Raw genomic sequence first — 22,760 nt, 5'->3', positions numbered from 1 at the left:
AGAGGAAAGAAGAAGAAGAAGAAAAGAAGAAGAACTCTGAGGAGCATATGACAGGGAATCACAGTCTGAAATGAAAGCCAGAGAGGTCAAAGACCTCCAAGTCACACAGCAAATCCTCCACTGACCTCAAACCCAGGTCTCTGTGTATTCTGGGTTGTATCCAGCTCTACACAGAGACCCTTGGCCTCAGGTTTTCTGGAGGAGAAAGAGCAAAACTTGACATTTAGTTAAAAGGAAACCCTGAAAACAGCAGAGGGTGAGAAACTGGGTTGCTAAGAAACCCCCAAGGATGGGGGAGAGGGTTGGCATCCATTGCTAGGCAACCTAGAAGAAGCCAGACAGGCAGGTTTGGCTACAGACACCTTTCTCCCTCCTTTTCATAGACTCCTAGAATGCCAGGCTAGATATGCTCTTAAGAGACATCTAAGGCTGGGTGTCGTGGCTCACACCTGTAATCCCAGCACTTTGAGAGGCCGAGGCAGGTGGATCACTTGAGGTCAGGAGTTCAAGACCAGCCTGGCCAACATGGTGAAACCCTGTTTCTACTAAAAATGCAAAAAAATTACCTGGGCCTGGTGGTGCATGCCTGTAATCCCAGTCACTTGGGAGGCTGAGGCAGAAAAATCACTTGAACCCGGGAGGCAGAGGTTGCAGTGAGCCGAGATCACAGCACTGCACTCCAGCCTGGGCGACAGAGTGAAACTCGGTCTCAAAAAAACAAAAACAAAAACAAAACAAAACAAAAACTTCTAGTCCAACCACCTAATCATACAGATGGGGAAACTGAGGCCTCGAAAGGCAAGGTGATTAGCCCAAAGTCCCACTAATTCCTCCACATGAGCAAAGATAAATAGCATGGGTGAGGCGGGAAGCATTGTCACTGGAGAGTGGCCTGGCGTAGCTGAGGATAAAGTGACCGAAGATAAATCTATAAAAGAGTGAGGGAGTCAACTGCAAAATGCCTTGAATTTCAAGAGTTTATCCTGAGGGTAGTAAGGGGCCATCGAAAGGTTTACAGCAGTGGTCAGGTTTGTGTTTTCAAAGGACCCCGGCTGGGCATGGTGGCTCACGCCTGTAATCCCAGCACTTTGGGAGGATGAGGTGGGCAGATCATATGAGGTAAGGAGTTCAAGACCAGCCTGACCAACATGGTAAAACCCTGTCTCTACTAAAAATACAAAAATTATCCAGGTGTGGTGGCATATGCCTGTAGTCCCAGCTACTCAGGAGGCTGAGGCAGGAGAATCGCTTGAACCTAGGAGGCGGAGATTGCAGTGAGCTGAGATTGCGCCATTGCACTCCAGCCTGGGCAATAGAGCGAGACGCGGTCTCAAAAAAAAGAGAAGACCCCTTGGAGGCTGGGCACAGTGTCTCACACCTGTAATTTCAGCACTTTAGGAGGCCAAGGCAGGAGGATCTCTGGAGGCCAGGAGTTTGTGACCAGCCTGGGCAACATAGCAAGACCCCATGTTTACCATACAAAAAAAAAGACTCCTTGACCCCTTGGGCTGCAGTGTGAAGACTCGGGATAAAGTCCAAATACCTTCAAGGTCCTTCTCACTCTTGCCTGTCACCCTCCTCTCTCCACACCTTCCCCGCAAGCTGGTTAGCTTCTGTGTCAGCCACTCTTACCAGGTCTTCCCATGTACTGTTGCTGGCATCTGTAAAGTCCTTTCCTTCACCTCACTCTTCCTTATCCTATTGTTCCAGTTATTCCTTCATAACAAACTGCCCCAAAACCTAATAGTGTGGACAACTGCCATCTCATTATGTTCGTGGACTCTGGGTCAGGAATTCAGACAGGATATAGAAGGGATGGCTTGTCTCTGCTCTGTGATGGCTGGGCCTCTGCTGGGAAGGCCCTCCAACAGCTGGGAGTGAGTTGAATTATGAGGGGCTGGAATCCCCTGGAAGCTTCTCAACTCATAAGTCTGGTGCCTGGGCTCAGCTGTCAACTGGAGCAGCTACCTACACATGGTCTTCCCACGTGGCCCGGGCTGCTTCTCCACATGGCAGTCTTGGCTGTTGGCCTTTCAACATGGCGGTTCAGCGTGACTTAGCCTTGGAAATCCTGCAGCACCATGTCTGCTGTGTCCTGTTGGTTACAAATGGATCATGAAGGCCCAGCCCAGATTCAAAGGGAAGGTAATTTAAAGGAGGAATGTCAAAGAACGTGTAGCCATGTTCTAAGGTCATCACATCCTACTGAGGTTTCATGCCACAGCTTAAACATCACCTCCTCCAGGGAATGACCTGACCACACCCCACTCCATTGTCTGGGTTAAACATCTCCTCAATGTTCTCCCAGACTCACTGTCCATCGCCAGCAAAGCATTTCCATTCCTGGGTTTATGTGTCTCCTCAGACCTGTGAGCTCACTGAGGACAAATCACGTTTTTCACTTTTGTATGCCCGGCACCTAGCACGCGGCCTGGTCAAGGCAAACCTTCCCCACCCTGCCCCCCACCTTTTTTTTTTTACAGGCAGGGTCTAACTCTGTCACCCAGGCTGGAGTGTAGTGGCATGACCATGGCTCACTGCAGCCTTGAACTCCTGGGCACAAGAGATCTTCCCAGCTCAGCCTCCCGAGTAGCTGGGACTATAGGCTCACGCCACTGTGCCTGGATACTTTTTTAAATTGTATTTTTTAGAGGCAGGGTCTTGTTTCCTTGCCCAGGCTGGTCTCAAACTCCTGGCTTCAAGTGATCCTCCCACCTCGGCCTCCCATAGTGCTGGGATTACAGGCATGAGCCACCATGCCCAGCCTAGACCCTTAAGAATGTTTGTTGAATGGGTGGGTGAATGTGCTGAGGCATGGAGTCCAGTCCAGAGTCATTCCTTCCTTATGAAGCTTACATACAAATTAGAGAGAGAGAGACAAAAAGTAAAAACTACAGGTGATAAATGCCAGATAGTGATAAATGCTATTCAGAAAAATAAAGCAAAGTAACAGGATAGTTTATGGAGGATGTTACTTTATATGGATGGTCAGGGAGGACACTGTGAGGTACTCCCTGTGCCTACTCTAGGGCGCCCTGGGAGCTGAGACCTGAAGGAAGTAAGACATGTGGCTATCTGGAGGAAGGGTATTTTTTTGTTTGTTTTTTGAGGTGAAGTCTCGCTTTGTCTTGCCCAGGCTGGAGTGCAGTGATGCGATCTCAGCTCACTGCAGCCTCTGCTTCCTGGATTCAAGTGATTCTCCTGTCTCAGCCTCCTGAGTAACTGGGACTGCAGGCATGTGTCACCACGCCCAGCTAATTTTGTATTTTTAGTAGAGAAGGGGTTTCGCCATGTTGGCCAGGCTGGTCTCGAACTCCTGACTTCAGGTGATCCACCCACCTGGACCTCCCAAAGTGCTAGGATTAGAAGCGTGAGCCACCTCGCCCAGCCGGAGGAAGGGTATCTTAAGCAGAGGGAAAAGCATGTGCAAAAGCCTTCAGGCGGAAGTGTGATTGGCACTTTTGAGGAACAGCAAGACCAGTGTGACTGGGCATGTGAGAAACAGAAAAAGTAGAAGATGAAGCCGAGGCTGAGCCACAGGCTACTTCTTATGGGGCTTTGCAGGCCATGCTGAGGACTCTGGCTTCTACTGAATGAGAGTCTTTGGAGAATTTTGAACAGTGGCAGGGTGTGCTGGGATTTACAGTTTAACCAGATCACTCCGGCTGCTGTGTGGACAATAAGACTATGAGTGGGGCAAAGGAAAACGCAAGGAGCCCTTCGTATGCCCTTATATCCTGGACCCAGAGGCCATGGAAGATGTGAGAAGTGACAAGACACAGGGCATATTTTGAAGGTAGAGCCAACAGGGTATAAGGGAGATGGCGCTGGGAGGAAAAGAGGCATCAAGGATAACTGAGAGGCTTTAGCCTTTCATTTCACATCAGCTGTGCAGATGTGGTCTGTGGAAGCAGGCTTGGGAGCACTGTGGAAACAGTTCATTTTTTGGCATGTCCAGTTTGAGGTGCCAATTAGATATATCAGTGGAGATGACAAGAAGGCAGCTAGTCTAGTCATGTCTGGGATGGAGATGTAGACCTGAGAATTCTCAGCTATGATACTTCAGCTTCCCAAGTAGCTGAGACTACAGGTGTGTACCACCGTGCCTGGCTAATTTTTTTAAAAAAAACTTTACTAGAGATTAGGTCTTGCTATGTTGGCCAGGTTGGTCTTGAACTCCTGGACTCAAGAAATCCTCCCACCTTGGCCTCCCGAAGTGCTGGGATTACAGGTGTGTGATAAGCAGAATTCTAAGATGGCCCCCAAGATTCCCAGTCTCTGGTGTAGCTGCCCTAGACAGCCTCCTCCCTTTTGAGTGTGGGCAAATCTAGTATGACAGCTGTCACTCTTATAAGGCTACAATATACTGCAAAGGTGAAGGGATTTTTTGCAGATATAAAATCCCACATTAGTTGATGCCTAATCAAAAAGGAGATTTTCCTGGGTGAGTCTGACCTAATTAGGGAAGGCTTTTTTTTTCTCTCTCTCTTTTTCCTTTTTTTTCTTTTTTTTTTTTTGAGACAGAGTCTTGCTCTGTCGCCCAGGCTGAAGTGCAGTGGCTTGGTCTTGGCTCACTGCAACCTCCGCCTCCCAGGTTCGAGTGATTCTCCTGCCTCAGCCTCCCAAGTAGCTGGGATTACAGGCGACTGCCACCACGCCAGGCTAATTTTTGTATTTTTAGTAGAGAAGGGGTTTCACCATTTGGCCAGGCTGGTCTCGAACTGCTGACCTCAGGTGATCCACCCACCTTGGCCTCCCAAAGTGCTGGGATTACAGGCATGAACACACCATGCCCAGCCAGGAGAGGCTTTTAAAAGAGAGCTTAAACCTTCCCTGAGCCAAGTGACTCCAAGCAGCAGAAAAATTCTCCTCTGGCCTTGACAAAATAAGTTGCAATATTGTGAGAAGGCTGGGGAGGCCCTGTGGGGGCCATGTGGCAAGAAACTGAGCAGCTTGTAGTAATCAAGAGTGGTACTAACTGACAGCCAGCAATAGAACAGGGATCTCTGTCCTATAAGCACAAAGAACTGAATTCTGCCCACTACCGTGAGAGCTTGGAAAAGGCTGCTGAGCTCCAAGAAGGAATGCGGGCCACCAGCACCCCAGCTGCTGCCTTGTGAGATCCTGAGCAGAGACCCAGCTAAGGCATGCTGGACTCCTGATGCATGGAGACTGAAATAACAAATGCATGTTGTTTTACACTGCTAAGCTTGTGGCAATTTGTTACGCAGCAATAGATGAGAAACAATACATCAGCGTATGGTGTTTTGAAAGCCTTGGAAGCAGGGTGGCTCACACCACCCAGGCAAGGGGCATGACCCAGCAATGAGTCAATGCATGAATGGAGTGAGACTCGAGTGGGACTCAGTTCCTTGGCCTGGGACACACCCCGACTCCCACCTCCCAACTGCACAGAACCTTGGTTCTACTCCTCTTAGCCACTAGGTGGCCCCAGAGACCCCATAAGGAGCTGTCTCCCCGACCTTTCAGGTCAGCATCTGAAATGGAAGGAACCAAAATGAGATGGTCCCTCTTCTAGTCCTATTACCGACTCCCAGTACAGCCCACAAAGGGGAAGAGGCTTGCCCAAGGTTCCACAGCTCTAGCATTATCTCCGGTCAGGCATTTTACCGTGCACCCCATTCCAGGCTATTCTGTAAGACAAACTCAGATGACGACCTCCCTCCCACCTGCTTTTACCAGGGGACGGACTGGCAGTGAGAATGGCATCAGCAGGGGGCCCTGGAAGGCCTTCGGGCTGAGGCTGGAGTCTCTAATTGACGTGACTGGTGTGCAGACTAGGAAAGTGTGCAGCCCCTAGTTTGGTGCTGATGGCATCGGTGAACAGACTCTTGACATTAGGATACATCCGACCGGCCTAGCTGCAGTTGCTGGGCCACTGACCCAATTCCCTTTGTCCAGTCTCTTGAACCCTCTGTTGTAGACTGGGTTTCTCTAGAAACAGACAATGAGACTGAGTTTGGGTTGCAAGATGTTTATTAGGAATAAGCACCTGTGAAAAGAAGAGGAAGAAGAGGAAGCAGGCCTGGGCATAGGAAGTCAAATTGTGCTGCAGGCCTGACGAAGCCCTGGCTGGCCTGGGCCTGCTGGGAGTACTGTCTGTCAGTGTCCGTCCCATGTTGGATTGAAATGACCAGGTGTTTATACCATGCCTCACTCAGACACCAGATACAGGCTGCCCCAGGAAGGGCGTGGTCTCAGGTGAAGTGGCTCTCTGCAGCTGCGGCCACCCTGATGGCACTTCCCATAGCTGGGGAAGTCCTCCCTTGAAGGGAGTTCTGGGGGCAGCTGTCCCTATCTTCCACACCTTCTCAACTCTACCTCCTCTTACTTCGCCAGCTTGCTTTCAACCAGAGAAGCTGAGAAGAAGCAGTCACTGTAATTTCCACACTCAGCCCTGGCTCCTACTGGGAAAACAGAGGCTTTGTCCCAGCTTAGGAATACACTGGATCTGACAGATGAGAATTAGGGGGAGGGGTGTCAGAGGGACAAAGGAGGGAAAAGCCTTGGACTCAGTTGTAAAACACCAGTCAGAACCTCAAAGACAAGAATCACTAGACTTCTGTTGCTCTTTGGTCATTCAGTTAATCTACTCTGCAGGCCAATGTGCGCCAGGCACTGGGACCAATCCCACCACTCCAGGCCCTCAGCTGGGGGCCTAACACAATCTGCAGATTCAAACAGGGAGGGAGAGGCAGCACCCCGAAGCCATGCTTCACCAGGAAGCAGAACCAAGCCCTGTCTCTGACCCTGGCTGCTTGCAGGCCCTCCTTTAAGTTGCTTTCCTGCCTGACCCCGTTTCCTCCTCTGACAATGGAGTAACACGATGGGCACCATGGTGAATGCTTCTCACCTCAAACTTCATTTCATCCTGTGAAGCAGCTATTATTATTATCCCCACGTTATACATATGGAAAGAGTCACACGGGTGCTCAGTGGTGGAGCTGGGCTTTGAGTCCAGACAGTGTGGCCCAATCTTGCTTCTTAGTCCTCATTAAAGGCACAGAAAGGCATGGCCAAGCCAGCCCCCTCGGACCAGACCTGCCTGCATACTTGTTTCATTTGGCCCACAGAAATTTTAAAATATGAGTCTCATTTTGAAATTAAGATGACTCAGAAACATCCATCCAGCTTTTCTTGAAAAATCTGGCCACCTGGCCACTGTGGACTGCATTCCCACAGGGTCACAACTGGCAGGAGGTAGGCCCCTTGAAGTGGGTCATGACACCACTGTCCACCCAGAGTCACTCGTCTATGTTACCTGCCTGGTCCCTACAGGGATGAGTTTGCTATTCTTCATGAAGGCCAGGGAGTCCTGACATAGAGGCCTAGACAGGCAAGGTGGCTTGCCCTGGGACACCCAGCTCGGGCCCAAATCACACGGACTTGAATCTGGCAAACTGTTTAGGGAGGGTTGAGGAAGAGCACAGACATGCAGAACCACAGGGCAAGGTCGGGGCAAATACACTTTATTCAGTCCTGGCATCAGACTGGCGGAGTCCTGCTGTGGGTGCCAGTGCCCCAGACAGAGGGACCCCACCCCTCAGCTACGAGACTAGTTCTCCAAGACCACAGACAGTGACATCTCTTCACTCACATGACGTTTTTTTTTTCATTGTCTTTTTTTGTTGTTGTTGTTTTTCTTAAAAAAAAAAAAAAAAAAAATAGAGCGCAAGAAAGGCCCAGAGCCGGAGCACCAAGCTTAAAGGAGGCAGCTGGTGGCTTTGTCAGCGACGGGAACGCGTGGGGCAGAGACCTGCAGAGACCCTGGGCAGGGGTCCGGAGGACTCTGGGACCGTTTGTTCCTGAGATTTGTGTGTGTGAATGAGAGTGTGTGAGCCACCCGGGAGGGTGAACACACGCCGGTGAGATACAGGTAGTGAGGGCAAGGGGGGTGTGGGGAGGCCGGAGGGGCGGGGCGGGGCAGAGAGATGGCGGCGTGAGAGGGGCCACAGCAACAGGGACAGGGCTCCCGAGGGCACCCTGAACTGGACACAACTTCCTCCTAACAGCAGCGTTCTCCCCATTTCTCACGTGGAAAAACCGAGGTGCAAACGGCCCATCACTACTCGGAATCCATTCTCAGTCTCACTGGCCAAGTCGATGGTCTCTCCCAAACCAGATGTTTAAAAGCGAGAGTCTTCCTGCCATCACATCTGCTCTCCACGCCTCAGTCCCAAACCCCTAGCACCAAAGTGCCTCAGTTTTTCCCGCTGTATACTGCAGCTTGAGTACTGAGGGTGGACCTGGGTGACAGGAAGGGCCGGTGCGCTCAGGGAGGAGCCCAGGTTGCGGGTGCCCTGAGGTGAGGGGGCACTTCCCAGGAGGGGGTGGGGAAGGTGCAGCAGGGATCCTGTCCCCAGACAGACTGGTAAGGTGCCTTGGTTTTTAGTTTTCTTGGGTGGTCCCTTCCTCTACTGCTGGATTTCCAGAGAAAGACCTTACCTCTCAATTCCCAGTTGGGGGGAAAAAGGGACGTATAGGTAGGCTGTAGAGGCAGCCACGCGACCGGAGAGGTGGTGCGCGTGGGTGTAGGAGACCCCATACCGGAAAAGGGGCTATGCCACTTGGGAGAGTTTCAGGCCCAAACCAACCCTTCCGAGTGCTCCTCCCATTAAGGCAGCGACGCCCCGTTGGCTGGAGAGGAAACCTAGGGCTCCCGGATCAAAGGATTTCCCAGGATCGCTCTACACTCGCCCCCGCTTTTGCCCGGAGCGGGCGAAGAGTGCGGCTCCGCTGGGACCAGCCCCCTCCTCCCCAGAAGCATTAAGCATGCGCACGAAGGGGGTGGGCCCCAGCGGAGGGGCGGGCCCTAGCGCTCCGGGGATAAAAGGGGTGCGCCCCTCCCCCCAGGGAAGGGAGGGGCGCAGGAGGCGCGTGCGTTGCCACCCGGCCGCATCGCCCCCCTAACCCAGAGAAGGCGGGCCGGGCGAGGGAGGAGAGATTCCGGAGCAAAGGAGGGGGCGGGTCCTCCGGCCACGAGGAGGGGCGTGTGCAAAAGGGGGGAGGGGTGCAGGTCTGTAGGAGAGGACGGGAGGTGTATCGGAGGGGGCTGGCTGCTGGTGGCTGTGCAGGAGGGGGCGACGTGGGGAGGGGCTTGGGTGTCGGGGAAGGGGTGGGGGTTGGGCTGCCTTGGGGTGTGTCTGCGGGGGAGGGGCATGTCTGGATCTGAGGGGGGATGGGCACGTCCAGGAGGGGGCAGGCTGCGCGGGAGATGGGGTGCCAGCCTCGGCCTCCGAGGGGCCCCAATACCTGATTCCTGTATGTAAACAGCTGGTTTGGGGGCGTGCGCGCCCCGCTGACGGTGGGCTCAGTAGGTGAAAACCAGGTCTGCGATGCTAGACGGGCGCCAGTCCCCCGCGATCATCTCGGTAACCTCGGGGGTGCAGTAGTCCGGGAACTCGAAGTGCGACGTGCCCGAGGGAGGCTGCAGGTCCGGGTCGCGATCCAGGGCGCTGCAGTCCAGGCCGGCCGGGCCAGGGGGCAGCCTGGACAGAAAGCCCAGCGACTCCTCCCCCGACGCCACCGTCTCCTCTTCACCTTCCTCAGCCGCTGCCGCCTCCTCCTCCTCTTCCTCCGGCTCCTCGTCCTCCGACGGTGTCGGGGAGGCGGCGGCGGCGGCGGCCGCCCCCTCGCCCGACGGCCCTTGGGCGCGCTCCGCTTGTCCCCGAGCGGCCCGTCCCGCCGGGACCATCCTCCACAGCTCCCGCCCCGGGGTCTCGACCAGGCGCACTTCCAGCAGCTCCTCGTCGTCGTCTTCATCGTCGTCCTCGGGCGCCGCCGCCCCGCCCCCCAAAGGCCCTCCCGCTGCTCGGCGGCCCCCGCGGCCAGGCAGCTGCGGCCCGGGCTTGAGCCGGCTGCCGCCACCGCTACCACCGGGGGGGCGGGGCCGCGCCTTGGCGGGCGCCCCCTTGCTCTTTTTGCGCGGCCGGTACTTGTAGTCCGGGTAATCCGCCATGTGCTTGAGCCGCAGCCGCTCCGCCTCCCGCACGAACGGGATCTTCTCCGAGTCCTGCAGCAGCTGCCAGCGGCGGCCCAGGCGCTTGGAGATCTCGGCGTTGTGCATGTCGGGCCACTGGTCCATGATCTTCCGCCGTTCGTGCTGCGACCACACCATGAATGCGTTCATCGGCCTCTTGATGTGGCCGCTCGGGGTCTTGCACCAGCCGGGCTCGCGCGCCCCCTCCTCGGCCGGCCCGGGTCCCGGGGGCGGCGGCCCGCCGTCCCGCTTGGCCCTCGCGCCCCGCTGCTGCACCATCGCGCCTGGGCCCGGGGCCGCTAGACGCCGCCGGGGGCCGTCCGCATCCTCCGCGGCTGGGGGTGGGGGAGGAGGCAGCGGCGACGGAGGGGCGGCCCCGCCCCGCGGCTCGGCCCGGCCCCCGCGAACTGGGGAGCGAGGAGCTGGGCGCTCGGGCCCAACGGACGGCGGGGGGAGAAGGTCAGCGCGGTCTCAGGCGGGCTCGGCGCGCCCCCGCCGCCTCCGGCAAGTTGCGTCCTGGCTCACAACACACATTGTTTTGCGGGGGCCGAGGAATCGCACCCTCCGGGCCCCCGCGGGCTCTTCCTGCAGCCTCTGGCTCCGCCGCGGCCCGCGCGCGCCGCTCCCCGCCCGGCCGCCGACGCCTTTCAGTGTCTTTCTCCCCGCGCGGCCCCGCCGGCGCGCGCACCACCCCTCCCCCTCGCCGTCTGCGGGCCGCTGCGGCGCGCGCGGGGCCGCCCCGTGTAAACACCGAGGTGCCCGCTTGGGCTGCGGCCGGGCCCCGCCTCGCGCTCGGGCGCCGCGTCACCCGTTGCTGGGCAGAGAAGCCGGTATTTGCATCTCCCAATCGCTGGCCGCCGGAGCGGGGCGGGGCTCGGGCTGCGGGGCTGGGCGGTCTCGCGGCTAGGATTGGGGGAGACCGGCGAGATCGGTTTCTTTTCTTAGGTTAGGGGTTGGAGGAAGGGTAGGGGACGCGAGCCTGCTTCCATCTGACGCTGGACGCTTGTCCCTGCCCCGCGTTGCCTTTTAAATTTTAGCTCATTCCGAGACACCTGCCGTCAGGTAGGATTTCCGCCCTTTCCTCTTTCAGGGACGTCTTTTCGGACCATCCCAGAAGAGAATTTGGGGGGCCCAAGACTCAGGAAAGCTTCTTAAGGGGACGAACTCAGGTTGTCGTAGATGTTGCCCCCCGCCTACTACACACAGGGTCCGACCACATATGGGACCAGCAAATGCTTTTGGACCTAGTGAACAAATCCCTTTCTCATATATATGTATATTTAATCTCGTTCGAAGCTCCATAAGAATCCGGAGGGAGAAGGGAATATGATAATATGATGCCCAGTTTCCAAATAGGAAGCACCGAGGACACGCAGACTAGGATTCGATTCCCAGGCTCGCGGTCCCAGCTGTCTCTCCCCTGCTCAGCACCAAGGGCCGCGGGGCACCTCGCCTGCCAGCCAAAGGTCCTGAGCTGGGCGGACTTCCCGCTTTTCACAAACCGCAGGCGACATTCGAGGATGCGTGGGTGCGCCATTCCCAGGTCCTACCCCACCCCGTAGCCTGCCCGGTGCCCGACTTGGGCGCGTCGCCCCACCCAAGCCTGGAGAAGCGTGCAGGGGCACGGGGCGGAGCCAGTCCTGGGGGCGTGGCCGGGTGGCCGGCACGAGGCGCGTGGCGGGGAGGGGCCGCGCGCTCCCGGCTCACCACGTGTGAGCCAGTTCGGGCACCACTGGGCGTGTGCCGCCCCTGGGGGAGGTCACCTTCACGGCGTCGTGAGCATGGGCGATGGGAGGGGGCGCTGAGGCCTCGCCCTTGGGAAGCAGGAGCTGGGAGGTGCCCGGATTAGGGTCTTTAAGGTGGCATTCCGCTGGGGCGTAGCGGGCATGGTTTGGGGCTAGGAGAATGCGCCTCTGGCGGTACAGCTCACCCACTTCTGGACGAGCGAAGGCCAAGAGCCGAGCTTGAGGGTGTGGGGCGGGGAGGAAGGACCGAGGTGCGGCTCCGCGGCGCGGGGGGCGGGGTGGGGGTGGTGGGGAGAAAGAAATTGGAGCATCCCTGGAGGGAGGGGGCGACTCTTAAAGGCACAGGGTGCTTGGAAGAGGAGGCCCTGCTCCCGTCCAAACGGTCCCTCCGCCTTTCAGAAGCTGAGATCTGGAAAAGCCTACGTGTAAAACCTTTACATCTGCAGCCTGAGCAGTCTACCCGATGGAGTCACACTTCCTGAGTTCACATTCCCAGTCCCTCCTTTTCCTTATCCTGAAAATGGGGATAATTCAGTTTCTCCCTCACATGGTGGTTTTACAGATTAAATGAGATAATGCATGTAAACACATCCTGATACCTAGGCAATGTTCAATAAAACTTATGATAGACGGGACGCGGTGGCTCACACCTGTAATCCCAGCACTTTGGGAAGCCAAGGCGGGCGGATCATTTGAGGTCAGAAGTTCGAGATCCGCCTGGCCGATATGGTGAAACCTTGTCTCTACTAAAAGTACAAAATAATGAGTCAGGCTTGGTGACGCGTACCTGTAATCCCAGCTACTCAGGAGACTGAGGTATGAGAATCGCTTGAACCTAGGAGGCGGATGTTGCAGTGAGCCGCTGCACTCCAGCCTGAGTGACAGAGTGAGACCCTGTCTAAAAAAAAACTAAAAGTTTTGAGAAACTAGATTTCCCAATAGTTACGCAGGTCACCAGCAACCCAGAGACATCACCATAATGAGAAAAAAAAATGGGCAGAGTGGGGACAGCTCTAGGATTTCAGAAAAGGTATCAAAGTAATGATTGTAGGACAAATAAAAGCTTTCTTGGAATTATCAACACCTTAACACTTTTCCCATAAATAAAATATTTGTTTTATTTTAGACGGTGTGTGATAGGTACCACAATCTTTTCAATGCTTATGGCCTCTCAAAGATCTGTCTCTGACCCTGTAGCTGCTGCTGCTATTATTATTCCAATGTATGTGAATAGTTCCTAACCTTACTCACTGCCAAACTGATTTGGACCAGGATTTCACTCTTTATTCTCAGCAGTGAAAATGCTGCATTCATTATTCACACCTGCCTCCTTTCCTTCTTCCATCCATGCATGCATCCATTAATAAACATTTGACCCTGCACAGTGGTTCACAGCTGTAGTCTTAGCACTTTGGGAGGCTGAGGCAGGCAGATCACTTAAGGCCAGGAGTTCAAGACCAGCCTGGGCAACATGGTGAAACCCTTACTCTACAAAAAAAAGTACAAAAATTAGCTGGGCAGGGTGGTGCCTGCCTGTAGTCCTAGCTACTTGGCAGGCTGAGGCAGGAGGATTGCTTGAGCCGGAAAGGTGGAAGTTGTAATGATTGTACCTCTGCACTCCGGCCTGGGAGACAGAGACTTTATCTCAAAATAAATAAATAAATAAATACATAAACAAACATTATTAATACTTACCATTCCTTAGGCCCTTTGACGGACTCTGAGGAGCTAGAGATGGTTAAAGTCTGGCTGAACCTAGGCCCTGGAAGAACCTTGGACTGCCTTCCCCAGTGTAGACACCAGGACTTATTAATGACAGAGAAGATGGTGTGGGAAGTTCAGCCGAGAAGATAATGTCTTCACTTTTGTTTTTTTCATTTTCTTCCTCAACAGACATTTATGCAGTGTGTGATTCTTTCTAAAACAACTCCCTGGAAGAGAGGACATTTAATTCAACAATTTATTGGCCACCTACTGTGCACCAGGCAGTGAACTTGGAACTGGGGCTACTGGGTTACAGCAGTGACCAAGACAGAGGTCCCTGTTCTTAAGGAGCAAGTGAGGGCAACAGAAAAGAGCAGGTAAACAAATAAGATAATTTCAGATAGTTGTGACTGCTATAAAGAAAATAAAGCTGGGCTGGGTGTGGTGGTTCACGCCTGTAATCCCTGCACTTTGGGATGCCAAGGCGGGAGAATCGCTTGAGCCCAGGAGTTTCAGACCAGCCTGGGTAACATAGAGAAATCCCACCTCCACAAAAATTCAAAAATTAGCCGGGCATGGTAGCAAGCACCTGTCATCTCAGCTTCTGGGGAGGCTGAGGTGGGAAAACGCTTAAGCCAGAGATTTTGAGGCTGTAGTGAGCTATGATGGTGCCACTGCACCCCAGACTGGGTGATGGAAAGAAGGGAGGGAGGGGCTGGGCAAGGTGGCTCACATCTGAAATCCCAGCGCTTTGAGAGGCTGAGGTGGGCAGATGCTTGAGCCTAGAAGTTCAAGACCAGCCTAGGCAACATGGCAAAAGCCTGTCTCTACAAAAAATACAAAACAGCCAGGTGTGATGGCCTGTGCCTTTAGTCCTAGCTACTTGGGAGGCTGAGGCAGGAAGATCGTTTGAGCCCGGGAAGTTGAGGCTGCAGTGAGCTGTGATCGTACCACTGCACCCCAGCCTGTGGGACAGAGTGAGACCCTGTCTCAAACGACAATGAAAAGAAAACAAGGTAATGAGAGAGTGAGTGACTGGGACGGGGGATGATAGAGATGGGGGAGAGTTTAGATCTCAAGATGACGAAGAACCATCCATGTAAAACATTCCAGGCAGAGGAAACAGCAAGTGCAAGGGACTGGAGATGGGAAGGAGACTGGGACGAGGTATTGAGAGGGCATGGATAGGTGCCAAGACCAGAGATGGGGGAGTGTACATGAGGAATACGATGCGTTTATGTTGAGCTGGAGCTGAAGGGCAATACGGTAGTTGGTCCTCAGAAGCCAAGTTATGGAGTTCCCTGGGTTGTGGGGAGCCAGGGACAGTTTTTTTATTGCAGGATGACATGATCAGAGGTACGCTTCAGCAAGATTAAGGAGTTTCATGTGTTGTAGTTGGATTGGAGGAGGGAAATTTGGGGGGAAAGATCAGCTGGAAATTTTCTTGTGTTTCAAAAACATGTTCACAAATTCTTTTTTTTTTTTTCTTTTTGAGATGGAGTCTTGCTCTGTCACCCAGGCTGGAGTGCGGTGGCGCCATCTCGGCTCACTGCAAGCTCCGCCTCCCGGGTTCACGCCATTCTCCTGCCTCAGCCTCCCCAGTAGCTGGGACTACAGGCGCCTGCCACCACGCCCTGCTAATTTTTGTTGTATTTTTTTAGTAGAGACAGGGTTTCACCGTTTTAGCCAGGATGGTCTCAATCTCCTGACCTCATGATCCGCCCCCCTCAGCCTCCCAAAGTGCTGGGATTACAGGCATGAGCCACTGCGCCCGGCCCTTCACAAATTCTTTAATGTTCCTTCCTTCAAAAGGAAGAGCCTAATTCCTCCTCCCCTTCCCAGTTAAGTGTGAACTTGCCTCTAACTAATAGAATATGGCAGAAGTGATGGTTTGTGATATCTAAGATTGGACATAGAAAGCTCTATGTTTTCCTCCTGGCTGTCTTATTTTGTATCATTTATTCTGGGAGAAGTCAGCTGTCATGCGAGGGCACTCAAGCAGCCCTGTGGAAAGCTCTACGTGGTGAGAAACTGAAGCCTCCTGCCAACACCAACAAGGAACTGAGACCTACTTCCAACAGCCATCTGAGTGATCGATCCATCCTGGAATCAGATCCTCCAGCCCCAGTCAAGTCTTCAGATGACTGCAGCCCTGACCAGCATCTCAACTGCAACCTCGTGAATGACCCTGAGCCAGAACCATGCAACTAAACTCTGCGTGGATTCATGACCCACAGAAACTGTGAGATGGTAGCTGTTTGCTTTGTTAAGCCTCTAAGTCTGGAAAGAATGTCTTAAGCAGTAGCAGACAATGAACACAAGATTATTATTCAGCTGTTGAATTGGAAGAGGAGGGGAAGAAAAAATTTTCAGATCACAAAATATTCATTGTGTAAAACTTCAAAAATTCTGAAATTTAAGGAAAAAATATCATTTGTTGGGAATTTGTTGGGATTCATTGTCTCAGTGCCAAGAGACACCCACTCTTTTTTTTTTTTTGAGACAGAGTCCTGCTCTGTTGCCCAGGCTGAAGGGCAGTGGCACGATCTCAGCTCACCACAACCTCTGCCTCCCGGGTTCAAGTGATTCTCCTCCCTAAGCCTCCCAAGTGGCTGGGACTACAGGCATGCATCACCATGCCCGGCTAATTTTTGTATTTTTAGTAGAGACGGGGTTTCACTATGTTGGCCGGCTGATCTCAAACTCTTGACCCCGTGATCCGCCCGCATCAGCCTCCCAAAGTGCCGGGATTACAGGCATGAGCCACTGCGCCCGGCCGAGACACTCACTCTTAACATTTTGGTATATTTTTTCTCTCTGCACATTTTTTATCCAGCTGACTTTATTTTGTCTCCTGAAATCTTCATTTTTAAATTATAGCTTCAGCATTTAAGAAAATGTGTCTAACAAAGTCTTCGCAAGCATACATTTTTCCCATAGTTAGTATACTTAGAATTTATTTGTCAAGCAATTTTGAAGGGCTTTCACTATGAAAAACTTTAGGGCTTATTGATATTCTCTTTAAGTAGAAGTATGTTTTTTATTATTACAAAAGTTATATATGTATATATATGGTGTTTGTGTTTGTGTGTGTGTGTGTGTGTGTGTGTGTGTGTGTGTGGAGTCTCGCTCTGTCACCAGGCTGGAGTGCAGTGGCGTGATCTCAGCTCACTGCAACTTCCTCCTCCCAGGTTCAAGCGATTCTCCTGCCTCAGCCTCCTGAGTAGCTGGAACTACAGGTGCGTGCCACCACGCCTGGCTAATTTTTGTATTTTTAGTAGAGACGGAGTTTCGCCATGTTGGTCAGGCTGGCCTCGAATTCCTGACCTCAAGTGATCCGCCCGCCTCGGCCTCCCAAAGTTTTGGGATTACAGGCATGAGCCACTGCGCCCGGCCTTATACTGAATTATATAAGGCGAAAAGTGAACGTCTCCTGTAATCTAGAAAAATGGCATTATAATGAGTAAATTTTAAATTTTAATGTAATTTTCCAGAATTTTTTTTTTTTGAGACGGGACGGAGTCTCACTCTGTTGCCCAGGCTGGAGTGCAGTGACGCGATCCTGGCTCACCGCAACCTCTGCCTCCCACGTTCAAGCGATTCTCCTGCCTCAGCCTCCCAAGTAGCTGGGACTACAGCCGCCCACCACTGCGCCCGACTAATTTTTGTATTTTTAATAGAGACGGGGTTTCGCCATATCGGCCAGGCTGGTCTGGAACTCCTGACCTTGTGATCTGCCCGCCTTGGCCTCCTAAAGTGCTGGGATTATAAGCGTGAGCCACCGTGCCCGGCCTTTTTTTTTTTTCGACAAGGTCTCTCCCTGTCACCCAGGATGGGGTGCAGTGGCGCAATCACAGCTCACTGCAGCCTCAACCTCTTGGGCTCAAGTGATCTTCCCACGTCAGTGTCCCAGGTAGCTGGGACTACAGACGCGTACCACCACACAGGGCTAATTTTTTGTATTTTTTATAGAGACTGAGTTTTGCCACGTTGCCCGAGCTGGTCTCAAATTCCTGGGCTTAAGCGGTCTGCCCACCTTGGCCTCCCAAAGTGCTGGGATTACAGGCATGAGCCACTTCACCTGGCCATCCAGAAACTTAAATGCTTATAATCACATGCACACATAGTTTTTTTTACACAAGTGGAATGTTACTATATGTAATTTCTAGTAACCTGCTTTTTTCACATCTCTTTTCTCTTTCCATGTAGTGCGTAGGTTCTCGTCCAGGTCTGCCGAGTATATTGTAATTCATTTAATCAGTTCTTTTTTTTTTAGAGACGGAGTTTCACTCTTTTTGCCTGGGCTGGAGTGCAATGGCGTGATCTCGGATTACTGCAAACTCTGCCTCCTGGGTTCAAATGACTCTGCTGCCTCAGCCTTCCAAGTAGCTGGAATTACAGGCGTGCATCACCACGCCTGGCTAATTTTGTGTTCTTATTAGAGATGGGGTTTCACCATGTTGGTCAGGCTGGTCTCGAACTCCTGACCTCAGGTGATCTGCCCACCTCGGCCTCCCAAAGTGAATCAGTTCCTTCTTGAAAGACATTTTGATTGTTTTACCCCTTTTTGCTATTATAAACAATATGGCAGTGAACACCTTTGTATGTATGTTTTTGGCCACTTATTTATTTAGAGATGGAGTCTCGCTCTGTCGCCAGGCTGGAGTGCAGTGGCGCAATCTTGGCTCACTGTAATCTCCACCTCCTGGGTTCAAGCGATTCTCTTTCCTCAGCCTCCTGAGTAGCTGGGATTACAAGTGTGCGCTACCACACCCAGCTAATTTTTATTTTTTTTTGAGACGGATTCTCGCTTTGTCACCCAGGCTGGAGTGCAGTGGCTTGATGTCGGCTCACTGCAAGCTCTGCCTCCCGGGTTCACACCATTCTCCTGTCTCAGCCTCCCGAGTAGCTGGGACTACAGGCGCCCGCCACCATGCCCGGCTAATTTTTTTTTTTTTGTATTTTTAGTAGAGCTGGGTTTTCACCGTGTTAGCCAGGATGGTCTCGATCTCCTCACCTTGTGATCTGCCTGCCTTGGCCTCCCAAAGTGCTGGGATTACAGGCGTGAGCCACCGTGCCCGACCTGTATTTTTAATAGAGATGGGGTTTCACCATGTTGGCCAGGATGGTCTCGATCTCCTGACCTCATGATCTGCCTGCCTCAGCCTCCCGAAGTGCTGGGATGACAGGCGTGAGCCACTGCACCCGGCCTGTCTGTTATTTCTTTAGGAAAAATTCATACACAGAGACTCCACAATATAACAGAACAGACATTTAAACTGGCTGTCCCCCAAACACAACAGGCTTGGGCCTACCTCAGGGCCCTCATTCATGCTGTCTCCTTTGTCTGGAACTCTTTTCACCCCCATCCCCACATGGGCTGGAGCATCTACTCATCCTAGCTTCGGCTCAAACGGGCTCCCCAGAGAGGACTGTCCTGACCACTCTCTGCCGTTTCCCGTTCATCTCCCTCTGTCTCAGGTATACAGAATCGCTTCATCTGCGACACATTCTCATTGTTGCCTGTGATTCCCTCACTTTATGCTTGTGTGGGTTTTTTTTAGAGACCTGGTCTTGCTCTGTTGCCTGGGCTGGAGTACAGTGGTGCGATCATAGCTCACTGCATCCTGGAACTTCTGGGCCCAAGTGATCCTCCTGCCTCAGCCTCCCAAGTAGTTAGGACTACAGATGCATGCCACCATGGCTGGCTAATTTCGAAAAATTTTTTTTGTAGAGGCAGGTTCTCACTATGTTTCCTAGGCTGGTCTTGAACTCCTGGGCTCAAGCGATTTTCCCACCACAGCCTCCCAAAGTGCTGGGATACAGGTGTGAGCCACCATGCCTGGCCCTGTGTGTATTTATTTTTACATAACATAATAAAAATCTGTGGAGTCAGCAATCTGACACAAGAACTGGAACATTGATAACCTGTTTTCCCCAATGAATTCCTTTACCATCCCATCTCCTGCCTTCCTTCACCTGAGGTAATGTCTATCCTGATTCTTCCAGAACATTAAAAAAAAAAAAAAACAGCTTTGTTGAGATGTAATTCACATACCACACTATTCAGTCATTTATAGTTTACAATTCAGTGGCTTTCAGTGCATTCACAGAGTTGTGTAACTGTTGCCACAATGGATTTTAGACTATTTTCATCATCCCCAAAAGAAACCATTAGCATCAGTACTCATTAGCAGTCACTCTCCCATCTGCTCTGCCTTCCCTCTAATCCCCAGCCCTAGGCCACCATTAATCTGCTTCTGTATCCATGGATTTGTCTCTTCTGGACAGTTCATGTAAAGAGAATCATACAACATGTGGCCTTTTGTGCCTGGCTTCTTTCACTTAGCATCATGATTTCTAGGTTCATCTATGTTGTAGCATGTATCAGAACTTCCTTTTTATTGCCAAATAATATTCCATTATAGGCCAGATGTGGTGTCTCATGCCTACAATCCCAACACTTTGGGAAGTAGAGGTTGGAAGGATTGCTTGAGCCCAGGAGTTCGAGACGAGTCTGGGCAACATAGTGAGACCCCGTCTCTAAAAATAGAAAAATTAACTGGGCCTGGTGGTGTGTGCCTATAGTCCTAGTTACTTGGGAGACTGAGTCAGGAGGATCTCTTGAGCCTGGGAGTTCCAGGCTGCAGTGAGCCATGATCACACCACTGCACTCCAGCCTGGGTGACAGAGTGGAACTGTCTCAAAGAAAAAAATATATATATGGCCAGGTGTGGTGGCTCACATCTGTAATCCCAGCACTTTGGAAGGCTGAGGCAGGAGGATCATGAGGTCAGGAGATGGAAACCATCCTGGCTAACACGATGAAACCCATCTCTACTAAAAATACAAAAAATTAGCCGGGCGTGGTGGCACGGGCCTGTAGTCCCAGAAGGCTGAGGCAGGAGAATCGCTTGAACCTGGGAGGCAGAGGTTGCAATGAGCGGAGATTGTGCCACTGCACTCCAGCCTGGGCGACAGAGTGAGACTCGGTCTCAAAATAATAATAATAATAATAATAATAATAATACCTATTCTTAATGATACCTGAAGGCAGGATGAAGCCAACTCAGGTGTGGGTGTGGCTGTTGTAGGTACTGTCGTGTTACTCCACTCACCCTAACTGTGTCTAGCTCCAAAATACCTATTTGCCAACTGGCATGGTCCTCAAAGACATTCATAATGAGAAGAGAACAATAGGGACAAGGTAATTTCTTTTTTGATTCATCTAAATTTCCTGATTTTAAAAAAGTCAGGCCAGGGGCAGTGGCTCGCACCTGTAATCCCAGCACTTTTGGAGGCTGAGGCAGGCAGATCACCTGCGGTCAGGAGTTTGAGACCAGTCTGACCAACATGGAGAAACCCCGTCTCTACTAAAAATACAAAATTAACTGGAGGTGTTGGCGCATGCCTGTAATCCCAGCTACTCAGAAGGCTGAGGGAGGAGAATTACTTGAACCTGGGAGGCAGAGGTTGCAGTGAGCCAAGATAGCGCCATTGCACTCCAGCCTGGGCAACAAGAGCAAAACTCCATATCAAAAACAAAAACAAACAAACAAACAAAAAAAGCCAGTGGCTCATACCTATAATCCCAGCACTTTGGGAGGCTAGCTTGAGCCTAGGAGTTTGAGACCAGCCTGGGCAAAATATTGAGACCCACATCTCTACAATAAATAAAAAATTTACCAGTTGTGGTGGTGCACATTTGTGGTCCCAACCACTGGGGAGGCTGAGGTGGGAGGATCACTTGAGCCCAGGAGGTTGAGGCTGCAGTGAGCAGTGATCACCCCACTGCACTCCAGCCTGGGCAACAGAGCAAGACAGTGTCTCAAAAAAAAAAAAAAAAAAAGAAAAATCAGAGATTATGATAGTGTGTGCATTACAAGGTCTCTTTTCTTTTGTATGTGTGTGAGATGGCATCTCCCTCTGTTGCCCAGGCTGGAGTGCAGTGGCATCATCATAGCTCACTGCTACCTCAAACTCTGGGGCTCAAATGATCTTCCCACCTCAGCCTCCTGAGTAACTGAGACTACAGGTCCTTTCTTTTCACTAAATAATAAGAGATCTTTTAAAAAACAATATAGCTAGGCACGGTGGCTCACACCTGTAATCCCAACACTTTGGGAGGCCGAGGCGGGCAGATCACGAGGTCAAGAGATCGAGACCATCCTGGCCAACATGGTGAAACCATGTCTCTACTAAAAATACAAAAGTTAGCTGGTCTTGGTGATACGTACCTGTAGTCTCAGCTATTTGGGAGGCTGAGGCAGGAGAATCGCTTGAACCCAGGTGGTGGAGGTTGCAGTGAGCCGAGATTGTGCCATTGCACTCCAGCCTGGTGACAGAGCAAGACGCAGTCTCAAAAACAAAACTCAGAAACCAATATAATAGTATAAACTGCACAGCGGCTATTGAGTACTTGAAATGTGGCTAATATAGCTGGGCACAGTGGCACACATTGTAGTCCCAGCCACTTTTGAGGTTGAGGCAGGAGGATTGCTTGAGCCCAGGAGTTCAAGGCTGTAGTGCCCTATGATTGCACCTGTGAGTAGCCACTGTACTCCAGCCTAGGCAACAGCAAGACCCCTGTATCAAAACAAACAAAAGAAGTGTGGCTATTAGACATATTACAAATATTCCCAGAGGTGACTCAGAAGTTAATCATAGAAGTCAAACTTTGCTTATTGTTATGAGTCTCTAGGGAGTACTTCAACTCATTTGCATCTGTTTCCTCATCTTCAAAATGGGACAGTGTAATTCTGGACCTGGGACATAGTAAGGATTCAATGGGTGGCAGCTGTGACAAGAGCAACAACAAAAATATTGTGCGTCTTTCTTTTTTTTAATAATGGCACAAAAAGGCAAAACCATAGATACAGTAAACGGATGTGTGGTTGCCAGTGTTTGGCGGGGAGAGGGTTCAATAAGTGAGCACAGGGGGTTTTTTAGGGTGAAGAAATGTGGGTATATGACTGTGCATTGGTTGATATCCATTAAACTTAATAGCACAAAAAGTGAACCTTAATGCATGCAAAGTTAAAAAAATCACTTAGGACATTTAGATAATTCCAAAATGTCATGCAGAATATGACAAACATCTTCACCGTATTACAAATGTGTGAAATGACCTCATGAAGAGGATAGAGGAAAACGTGCTGACCTAAGTAACTTTAGAAATGAGTGGGCCAGGCGTGGTGGCTCATGCCTTTAATCCCAGGACTTTGGGAGGCTGAGGCGGGAGGATCACTGGAGCCCAGGAGTTGGAGACAAGCCTAGGCAACATAGTGAGATCCCATCTCTACAAAAATTTT

General features: G+C 51.7%; 1 protein-coding gene and 1 long non-coding RNA gene across 2 annotated transcripts, besides 8 other annotated features; one reads left to right on the top strand and one right to left on the bottom strand.

The window, feature by feature from the left end:
- Positions 5,285-5,579: an enhancer, noted in NCBI's record as "identical tiled regions #7859 and #9812; K562 Activating DNase unmatched - State 25:Art". NCBI's record gives its function as "activates a minimal TATA promoter and a strong SV40 promoter by Sharpr-MPRA in K562 cells {active_cell/tissue: K562}" and the evidence as "EXISTENCE:reporter gene assay evidence [ECO:0000049][PMID:27701403]".
- Positions 5,980-10,652, bottom strand: SOX12 (SRY-box transcription factor 12). The gene has a single exon (NM_006943.4). It carries the CDS (start codon positions 10,277-10,279, stop codon positions 9,332-9,334), a length of 948 nt encoding a protein of 315 aa, NP_008874.2. The 5' UTR covers positions 10,280-10,652; the 3' UTR covers positions 5,980-9,331.
- Positions 8,763-9,052: a silencer, noted in NCBI's record as "silent region_12568". NCBI's record gives its function as "represses an Ori minimal core promoter by ATAC-STARR-seq in GM12878 lymphoblastoid cells {active_cell/tissue: GM12878}" and the evidence as "EXISTENCE:reporter gene assay evidence [ECO:0000049][PMID:35858748]".
- Positions 9,093-9,162: a silencer, noted in NCBI's record as "silent region_12567". NCBI's record gives its function as "represses an Ori minimal core promoter by ATAC-STARR-seq in GM12878 lymphoblastoid cells {active_cell/tissue: GM12878}" and the evidence as "EXISTENCE:reporter gene assay evidence [ECO:0000049][PMID:35858748]".
- Positions 9,523-10,012: a silencer, noted in NCBI's record as "silent region_12566". NCBI's record gives its function as "represses an Ori minimal core promoter by ATAC-STARR-seq in GM12878 lymphoblastoid cells {active_cell/tissue: GM12878}" and the evidence as "EXISTENCE:reporter gene assay evidence [ECO:0000049][PMID:35858748]".
- Positions 10,033-10,092: a silencer, noted in NCBI's record as "silent region_12565". NCBI's record gives its function as "represses an Ori minimal core promoter by ATAC-STARR-seq in GM12878 lymphoblastoid cells {active_cell/tissue: GM12878}" and the evidence as "EXISTENCE:reporter gene assay evidence [ECO:0000049][PMID:35858748]".
- Positions 10,163-10,542: a silencer, noted in NCBI's record as "silent region_12564". NCBI's record gives its function as "represses an Ori minimal core promoter by ATAC-STARR-seq in GM12878 lymphoblastoid cells {active_cell/tissue: GM12878}" and the evidence as "EXISTENCE:reporter gene assay evidence [ECO:0000049][PMID:35858748]".
- Positions 10,653-10,962: a silencer, noted in NCBI's record as "silent region_12563". NCBI's record gives its function as "represses an Ori minimal core promoter by ATAC-STARR-seq in GM12878 lymphoblastoid cells {active_cell/tissue: GM12878}" and the evidence as "EXISTENCE:reporter gene assay evidence [ECO:0000049][PMID:35858748]".
- On the top strand, positions 10,952-16,517 carry NRSN2-AS1 (NRSN2 antisense RNA 1). Its single transcript, NR_109990.1, has 3 exons — positions 10,952-11,062; positions 13,639-13,826; positions 15,423-16,517. It is a non-coding gene; the product is annotated as an NRSN2 antisense RNA 1 (long non-coding RNA).
- Positions 11,523-11,782: a silencer, noted in NCBI's record as "silent region_12562". NCBI's record gives its function as "represses an Ori minimal core promoter by ATAC-STARR-seq in GM12878 lymphoblastoid cells {active_cell/tissue: GM12878}" and the evidence as "EXISTENCE:reporter gene assay evidence [ECO:0000049][PMID:35858748]".
- Positions 16,518-22,760: the final 6,243 nt, after the last annotated feature.

Source organism: Homo sapiens, chromosome 20 (genome assembly GCF_000001405.40).
Source record: "Homo sapiens chromosome 20, GRCh38.p14 Primary Assembly".
Lineage (NCBI taxonomy): Eukaryota > Metazoa > Chordata > Mammalia > Primates > Hominidae > Homo > Homo sapiens.
Note: the sequence above shows the minus strand (reverse complement) of the source record. Positions and strands in the feature narration are given on the sequence as shown.